General features: G+C 40.6%; 1 protein-coding gene across 4 annotated transcripts in view; it reads left to right on the forward strand.

Moving 5' to 3' along the window:
• The window catches only part of SPRY3 (sprouty RTK signaling antagonist 3), a gene marked incomplete at its 5' end in the record, with an annotated part of 45,557 nt that extends 36,081 nt beyond the window's left edge, over positions 1-9,476 (forward strand). For all 4 annotated transcript variants that reach the window (NM_001394354.1, NM_001394353.1, NM_005840.4 and 1 more), the window contains 1 exon segment: positions 783-9,476. In NM_001394354.1, the coding sequence (NP_001381283.1) occupies positions 889-1,755 (867 nt within the window). In that variant the 3' untranslated portion in view covers positions 1,756-9,476.
• Between the last annotated feature and the right edge of the window lie 200 nt (positions 9,477-9,676).

Consider the following 9,676-nt stretch of genomic DNA (forward strand, 5'->3'; position numbering starts at 1 on the left):
AGTATTACTCCCACGTGTACAAAAGTTTGATTCTGGAGCCTCCATTCCATTTAAAAAGAATCACTTCCTTAGTAAGTTAAAGCAGCCAGTAAGGTGAAGAGAACTGCAAGATGATTAGTCTTGGTTTCCTTATACTCTTGGGAAGCCTTTTTTTTTCCTACTACACTGCAGACAGCTTAATTCCTACCTTCTGTGTGTTTGCTGTATCTCTGCCTTTATTGCATTCTCCTTGCTTGCCTGTATTCACTGAATCAAGTAATGTCCTTTCTTATCTGTTTATTTCTGCTTATCACAAATTCACACTGAAAAGATAATTTTGATTGGATATATATATATATATATATATATATATATATATGAGCAACTTCTCATGGGAGACTTTTGAGGCTTTCTCTTTTCCTTCAGCATTGCTTCAGAAAATAGCCTTTGCAGTTAATATTAGGTTCCATTTGTATTAGAATTCTGATGCCCAAGGCTTGGATGTCTCTGCTAGCAAATACCTGAATGAGCTAGCTGCTCCTGTGAAACTAGGCATTTGATGGAATACAAAAAGAATCAACTATCTGATATTTGTTCCCAAACTTCTTTATAGTCTGGAGGGGATGATGAGATTTGCCTATAAAGAAGTAAGTGAGGTTAATTACAGAATAAAGGTGTAGCATGAAGATTACTGTAAAGTAATTGAAGGTAGTGGTGGTGATAGGGCCTGAGCTTTGTTGGTTTCTTGCAAAGTACTTATGCCTGTGTGTTCTCATTTACTGTTTTTATGCCTTCTCTCCTAGGATTTTCTCATGTGCCCTGAAATCCATGTAACTACAAGGGCTCCTCTTTATCACCATAAGTGCCACCCTGACTTAAAACCACTCAGAGCTAAAAAATCAAGGCAAAATGGATGCTGCGGTGACAGATGATTTTCAACAAATTCTGCCTATTGAACAGCTGCGCTCTACTCATGCTAGCAATGACTACGTGGAACGGCCTCCAGCCCCCTGTAAACAGGCCCTCTCCAGCCCTTCCCTTATTGTGCAAACCCACAAGTCTGATTGGTCTCTGGCTACCATGCCTACTTCTCTCCCCCGCAGTCTCAGCCAGTGCCATCAACTGCAGCCCTTGCCTCAGCATCTGAGCCAATCTAGCATTGCCAGCTCAATGTCCCATAGCACCACTGCCTCTGATCAAAGGCTCTTGGCCAGCATTACACCCTCACCTTCAGGCCAATCCATCATCCGAACCCAACCTGGAGCAGGGGTCCACCCAAAGGCTGATGGTGCTCTGAAGGGAGAAGCTGAGCAATCTGCAGGGCACCCTAGTGAGCACCTCTTCATCTGTGAGGAATGTGGGCGCTGCAAGTGCGTCCCCTGCACAGCAGCTCGCCCTCTCCCCTCCTGCTGGCTGTGCAACCAGCGCTGCCTTTGCTCTGCTGAGAGCCTCCTCGATTATGGCACTTGTCTCTGCTGTGTCAAGGGCCTCTTCTACCACTGCTCCACTGATGATGAAGACAACTGTGCTGATGAGCCCTGCTCTTGTGGGCCTAGTTCTTGCTTTGTCCGCTGGGCAGCCATGAGCCTCATCTCCCTCTTCCTACCCTGCCTGTGCTGCTACCTGCCTACCCGTGGATGCCTCCATCTGTGCCAACAGGGCTATGATAGCCTCCGGCGACCAGGCTGCCGCTGCAAGAGGCACACCAACACTGTGTGCAGAAAGATCTCTTCTGGTAGTGCACCCTTCCCCAAGGCCCAGGAAAAGTCTGTATGACCTTCCAACAAGGTGGATCCAGAGCTTTTCTCCTTCGAGTCCCCAACAGCAAAGCATAGGCCTCATCTTTGGAGAGGGGGAGGAGTGATAAACTAGCCAAAGTTAGGGCCTCTCTTTTGTTCCTGCAGTGTCAGGGGAATGACCAAGTACATCCTGGTGCAGGATGCCTTGTTCTTTCTCACAGTATCTATCCCACTCCTCTTCAGTCTTTACACCCTGCCAGCTCAGCCTTTATGGTTGTCATGGCAAATTCAGGTGATATATGGGTATGAGGTTTGAACACTGAGGACTGACAGGGCCAGCAACGTGGAGGTTTAGGGGCTCCCCAATGTAATACCTCTCGATGCAGGCTCTGATCGTCACTCTGTTTTCTGCTGTGCCTTTGGAAGCTTTCTTCTAAGATGGTTTTCACAGGTACATGTGGAACAGCGTTCAACCTTCCAGGGAATACGACCCCTTCTCCCTGTTACTGCCCTTCTCTTCTTTATTCCTCTCTCCTCTTTCATTATTCTGTTCTGTATTCCTTTCCCCTTCATTCTCACCCTGTCTGCTTTTACTTTTTCTCTTTCTTCCTCCCTTTCTCCTTCTCCCCTCCTTCTTTTTCAGACTGATCCTTTCTCTGCCTGTATTTCTATCTCATTTGATCTATATTTGTCTCTCTCTACCTGTCCCTTTTTCTCTAACATGTCCAAAAGTGCTGTTTTTCCATAGATGTTTCCTTAGATGCCAAACTTTGCTATGCTATACTATTTACTAATTTTTATTAAGGGAAATGGATTACTGTAATGAACTGATCACTAGCAATAGTGTGTATCCCGATGTGTGTGTGTGCTCACAACCACTCTCACCTGTTCGTGAGCGCATGAGGCGAAGTTATCTTATATTTCCAGGTTTAACTAGTTGGAGTTTTTCTCCCTTTCTCAATAATCAACTTATAGTGCTGACAGATTCCACTAGCATGCTGAGTAGGATAGTAAATCAGGATGCTCATAACTTTGTATGTCTGACCCAAGTGCCAAAGGCAGACGTGCTTTATAGCTAAATGAACAAAGCAAAGGATACAGAGGTATGTTCTCTCTTAGAAGCTAACTTCCCTGAGACTGCATGGCTCAGGCGTTAATAATGGACATAAAAAGTCATAAAACGTTAGAGCTGGAAGGAATCTTAACTATTAATCTAGTTCAATGCCCTTATTTTACAGATGGGAAAACTGAGGCCTGGAGGTAGGAAGGGACTTGCCCCCAAGGCCGCACACTGAGTTAACAGCAGAATTGAGACTGGAATATAGGCCTTCTGACTCCTAGTTCAGTATTCTTACCCCTGTACCACATTGAGTCATGGGACTTTTTCCTAGGGCTCTATTAACAGTGACAGAAAGCCATTCCCATTCAATTACTTTTCAGGAACCATGCCTAGTTAGTGTGGTGGTCTTTCTCCAGTGCATGGTGGGTAGCTAATTAACTATCAGGTGTTGAGGCTGCCCCCAGTGGACATCACCTTTGGCTCTGTCACCTTGTAGAAGCTCAAGTGTGGAAAAGAAAAGCTTAAAGAAGCCCTAACCAAGCTGTATCTTCGCCATTGCATCTACTCTTTGCTGCACACACTGTGCTTGCTCCTGGCTTTGTCTGCAATGGCAGCTGCCTGAGAACTTAAATTTCAGCAACAGTGAAAAACTGAGATGAAAGATGTATAATGTAGAGAACTGACTTCTCTCTTAAAAAGTACAGAGAGCCTGTGCTGTGAACCCCCTTCAATGGGAAAAAGCTGCAGTGGTGATGGCAGGCTCCTAAAGACTGCTGCTAAAAGACACAAGAATTATACAGTTTCCCTCTATAAGTGAATCCAAAATTCACTGACGAATTCAGAGATTGAGGGCACTTGCTTGAAATCAAGGTGCTCCAACTTAGTTTAAGACCTCCAGACTCTAACTTTATAGATCATCTCTTCTAGAGTGTGCATGGATGTGTGTTGCAGGGTGGAGAAGTGGGGAGAAGTGTATAGTAGTACACGGGGGGAAGAGGGGACCTCCATGTCCCTTTGTTGGATACATATTACAGAAATATGTGCCACTCACTTTTTGTTGGTTCTGAATCTTCCTGAAGTGTACTGACATTTGGGCTGCACAGAGCCCCACACCTTCACTTACACCTCCTCTTCTAGAATTGCTTTGCTCTATTTTTGTATATATAAATATGTTATGATGATTATTAATAATGTTAATGATATTGCTGCAAATGGTGCCATATATAAGGTTAGGCTTCTTGGAACATTTATAAACCCAAACCAATACCTGTAACCTCTTATGTTGCTTTCAGATCCTTCAATTTTAAGTAACTTTTTAATCTTACAAGTCTGCTTGATTGTACTTTACACTTATCTACCCTGAAAAGCTCTGCCCAGTTCTCTGGGTCAAGCTGGATGGTGATGAGTAGCAACACACACTTCTCTGCTTCTGCCTGAAATGTGCTTAGAGCTCAGTTATCTAAGGATTCTCTGACACTAGTGCATTGTTCCTGGAGCTAAATTATTCTATGGATGTTTGCTTATTAGTTTCAGGCCCCAAAATAACACGAGCCCCTCCTCCTTGATAGCTCCTTGATATCCCAATCTTGCAGTCCTAACTCAGGCAAATTGTGCACTGCCAGAGGGGCCCTGGGTTCTGCCATATACCCAGAGGAGCCTTTCTCAGTGTGTTTCTAAATGGCCTTACACTTGGTAGAAGAAATTGAAGGGTTACTCAAATACAGTTGCAATCTGCAATCTGCTGTTGAGTCAGGGCTTTCACTTGTGTCCAAGTTGGCCTGATATGGACTGCATCTGCTTTACGTATAGATGGGTCCTGTTGGGATATGCGCATGGACGTGTGAGTGAGTGTGCGTATGTATCCCTTCTGTGATTATATATATTCACACATCTCTATATATTTTAATGTATTGCACATGTATATTTAAAATATATACGAAAGAACTCTAAATCCTGCAGGGAGGCTCTGTTTTCATTATTTTTCTACTTTGTGTCATGTCCTGTATAAACAGGAATATTTAGAGGGTGTTTCCTGCTTAGCATTTTTTTGCAGTTAAATCATCTGTTAGCCCCTAACTCTACTGCCTTCCACATATTGGTTCCTTGATACATTTCATATGATATCAGCCAAGAGTTTTCCTGTGGTTCCAGCCCATCTTCCCTAATCACAATAGCAATAATAAATATAGTGAATACTTACATAGTGCTTACTATATGCTAAGCACTATTTTTAGCATGTTATTTATATTAGCTCATTCATTCCTCACAATTCTACAACATAGGTATCATTCCAACCTCTATTTTACAGATGAGAAAACTGAAGCACAGAGAAGTTAAGTGACTTGCCAAAAGGTAACAATTGTAAATGGTAGAGCTAAGATTTGAACCCAGGGTGTCTGACTCCCAGGTCCATGCTCCAGAGTCAGATATAGAAGGCTGGAGCACAGTGTAAACCATTCTGGAGTAACAAGCCTCAAATGGTGAATAATTCTTTCCCTAACTCTGGTCCACCTGCAACCTAGGAGTTAAAATAAGTATCTTGCTATGTTAAGAGTAAAGCAATAGTTACAGGCATCATATATTAGCTGTCTTGCTCCCAAAATGGTGACATTACAAACTTTTCCACTATTCCCTTTGAAAACATGCTTGCAGCCAGTTACCATTTCTTAGCTTATGATGTAGAGCTATTAAGGGAGTATTTTCACTTGTGCCAAAGAGGGTAAGCGTTTATTAGCCTTATCTTTATTGGCCAGGGAAAACTAATTCAATTTTTTTTTGAACAAAGTATAACTGAGACTATTTTTGGAGCTTAAGATTTGTTAGAGCTGTTAACATTCAACCTTATTGATTATATTGAGAGCGCTCTTCTGATTCAAATGTAAGCAAACCACTGATGACCACTGGTCCGTATAACACATTTTACCAACAGCTCCTTCACACTGAATCCTTTAACTTGGCCAAAGGACCCTTAAAGAACATCTAGTCCAATGTCAACATTTTATAGCTGGAGAAAGGGATGCACAGAGAGGGAAAATAACCTGTCCAAAGTCACACAGTTCTGAAAATTGAGTGGAATTATGACTTTATACCAGAGTTCCTAATTTCCAGGTATCTTAGCCTCAGTTTCTTAAAAAATAGAGTTTGAAGCAAAAGCTATGTACGATCCAGGGTAGTATGAGTAAGGAAAGGGTTAATGAGGGAGGGAAGAAAGAAGAACAAATAAAAAGCATGTCACTGAGTTGGCCACAGTCTGTTCCTTGGCAAGCTAATTTCGCAATTTTTTGTGACAGACCATATAAAACTACTACATCTCCATACAGCCCACGTGGTGGAGGAAAGGAGGTGAATTCATCTGCTAGCTCTCATCTCATTAGTCAAATTCTTCCCCATGTGATATTTACCCTTCTACATTTTTGGGTAGTGCGTGATGGGCACTTAAATATGTACCTTGGCATTTCATGCTTCAGCAATAATGGGAAGGATTGTGGCTCCACTATAAACAGTAAGGCAAGTATATGAATATAGGGAGATTAAATTTAAAGTGCTACACTAGGGTGGTGCTTTTACCTTATGTCTTTAATCACATTCCTTCGAAGTAAGTTAGAGATAACCTACCACCTTTAAAGTAAATAAAGCTTTATTGTGGCTCTTAGAACTGTACTATGTTTGCCTTCCTGAACCTATTTATTCTCTAGCTTGCTTTAAAGGGCTTCTTTTTTATATGGAAATTAATTCCCTGTTCAATTAAAGGAGTAACAAACTCTCAAAATATCTTTCTTCTTAATATAAAAAGGAATTTCATATTATTGAACTCCTCAAAAAGCATGTGTAAGTCAAAATATGTATGTGAAGGCACATATGTTCTTTTAGGTTCCATGAGCATAATAGCAGGAAAACTGGTTAAGTCAATAAATGCTGGGGAAAAAATGGCTAAACAAGGTATTCTGTAACATGAAAATAAAGCAATGAGTTGGTTGGCTGGCTTTTTAAAAAATATTTCAGCCACTAATTATGACACAGACACATTATAAGAATTATGCTACCTTTTATTCACATATACAATAGTTCCCTGTGTCCTATAGATCATTGTCACATAAAGCAAAAGCATTAGTGCCCCATTTGGACCTTTGGCCGAAGGTTTGATAAGATTTTGTAGGACTGAAATTCTTGGTCCCTTTATCCTAGTTTAGGCCCATATCCTTATTTTCACTCTCAAAGATAAGATCATGACACTACCAGTGTTGCTGCTGTTAAAGGCCAGGATGGACAAGATAAGGAAAGGCATTTTGGGAATGACACTGACTAATGTTAGGAATCTTGCTGTCATTACAATCCAAGTTATATATGTTTGCTCCCATATGTATTTGTTGGCCAATCTCCTGAAAAAGAAGAAGGTAATTCTAACCCACACATTGTCATTCCCAAACTAACCTGGCAATCCTTTTGACCATACCAGGTAATAGTCATCCCTCTGATGGTAAAAGACAGAGATGTCAAGGCTCTGGAAGCTCCCAGGTCCTTGAAGAACTAACTAAACTGCTGAACACAGAAGTGGTAATGTAGGCAAGCCACAGGTATGTTCTCTTGTAACAAGATGGGGTTGACCATATGTGAACCCTGAAGAGTCATTTTGAACCTGTGTCCTAAGGCCTAGAGTACTTTAATCCTCATCTTCAAAGTCTTACCACTCTGATAACAAAAAGAAACACTACAAAGAAACTGCAAGGAAAGGGACAGTCATTTTTTTTAATATCTACCAATTATTTAGTTATTCATATATGCATTTCTTTATATAGAAAAGTATTTATATGAAGTTTCCAAAAGACTCTGATATTCAGCTTTATAGTCTTGGATAGAAAATCATGTGTCCTTGGATGGGGATTCACACACCAAGGCTTAACAGAATTAGTTTGGGGAATACTCATTTTTACTCTAGAGATTAGTTGGCTTAAACAACTTTACTCGTGAATTTTTTTCTTAATGGAGGTGAAGACCTCCCAAAGAGGAGAAGGCCCCAGGCCTTTCTTAATATATAAACCATATTGAAAGAAAGAAAGAAAAAAGTAATGGGAAGTAATAGTAAATGTGGATCCAGAAAGAAAAACAAAGGTTAAGAAAATGATGTATGTGAAAGAAAAAAAGCTCTATAATCAGTGTGTTTCTCTCACCTAAAACACCATTTACTAACTACTTGGTTCAGTTGTACCCTTTAACTCTATTTTGTCCTTGACTTATATCAACACTCTTCTTTTCCAAACTCCTATAGCTCTCCATCTGGAATGATTCTATGGGGTGGGGGGTCGGGGGAGGAGAAAGGGAGACAGCAGAAGAAAGAAAGAGAGAGAAAGATAGAGAGAGAGAGAGAGATGGGTGGAGACTTGGCCTCTCTCCTAGAGGTTCAAAGTTAGAATATGCCACTAACACTATCTGCCTTTCAAACTCCCTTCTAGGACATGCTCCATAGTACTTAGATCTTATATCAAATGACAAGGTTTCTCTCCTTCAGAGAGAAATACCAGACTGGATTTGTGGTTTCCCTGGATTGGTTTTTTCTGAGTCAAAGTGGTGTTGTAGAAATCACAGTACCCTGAGACCAATTAAGTCAGAATCTTTGGAGGTGTTGAGGAATGGATTTTTAAAGTTCCCAGATGATTATAATATGCAAACAGATTTGAGAAAATTGAATCACTTTATTCCATAAATGCAGATAGTGAGGCTAAGAGAGGGAAAGTGACTTACTCATAACCACACCGTGAGTTAGTGACCAAGTCAGGATAAGAATCCAGGTCTGCTGACTCCTAGGCCAGAATTCTTGTCTTTATACTACACTGCTTCTATCTCTACCCTATTCCCCCTCTGAGCCTTTGCTTTTCTCATCTGTAAAATGACGATAATAAAGCCTAGAGAGTGTATGAGAATCATTAAAGCAGAAGCATTTTTCTTAATGTACAAGGTTCTATACAAATGCAAGGGAATTAATGTATAACATATATGTGGGGCTAAGTCTCTAAAACAACATAATAAAAGTTGTTTTTATTTTAGTCAATCTTTTAGGTATTGTGTCTACCTGATAGCATGTAACAAGATTGAACACTTGTGTAGGTCGTATGTGCCTTTAATCTGAGGTTGGCCTCAGTGACAATCAAAATTAGCAGTTGAGGAAAAAGGTCATACATTTTTCTCTTGCCCTTGCTGGAATAGGGATCAAGAGGAATATAAAAGCAGTGGGATATCTGGATTTCTTATACTCAGTCAACCACAACATGGCCTTAGTACTGAACTAGCCCAGGGTTTCAATGGAACTCGTAGATCTCATTCCCAAGGCTGGTCCTGGTTGAAGGGAGAAGGTCAAAAAAGGACGTGTCTTCTGAAAGGCATTACCCATGGAAAGCCAAGGGGGAGGGTTGCCCACTAGGAGGAGCTTCTTTTGTAGAAGCCAGAATGGAGGAAAGGGGCTTTCTGACTTGGAGCATCTGAGGAAATAGATTATTTGAGGATCTAGTACTCCCAGAATAATCTGTAACCACAAGAAACACATTTCTTGAACTCCAGCGCCCCAGAACAGGATATCCATATCCAATCCCATCGTATCCATCCTGGATGTTATGAATTTCCAGAGAGGGCCACTTCTACCCCCCTAGGAGTCATACATCTGGCTACTTATTTGTTAAAAATAAAATTCTGTACCATTTATAAAATGGGCCTCTTATGTCTTCCTTATTTTGAAATTATAATATACATTCCTAATTCATCATTCATTTTTGCCAATGATTTTTAAGTATTTATTTGAAAGTTATTTTTAAATACAAAAATATATGTATTTAATAAAGCACTTCTTTATCTTCTTATTTGAACCATACTAAAAAATGTAAAACATGCCATGATTAAACTAGGTAAT

The sequence above is a fragment of the Homo sapiens genome, chromosome Y (assembly GCF_000001405.40).
Source record: "Homo sapiens chromosome Y, GRCh38.p14 Primary Assembly".
Lineage (NCBI taxonomy): Eukaryota > Metazoa > Chordata > Mammalia > Primates > Hominidae > Homo > Homo sapiens.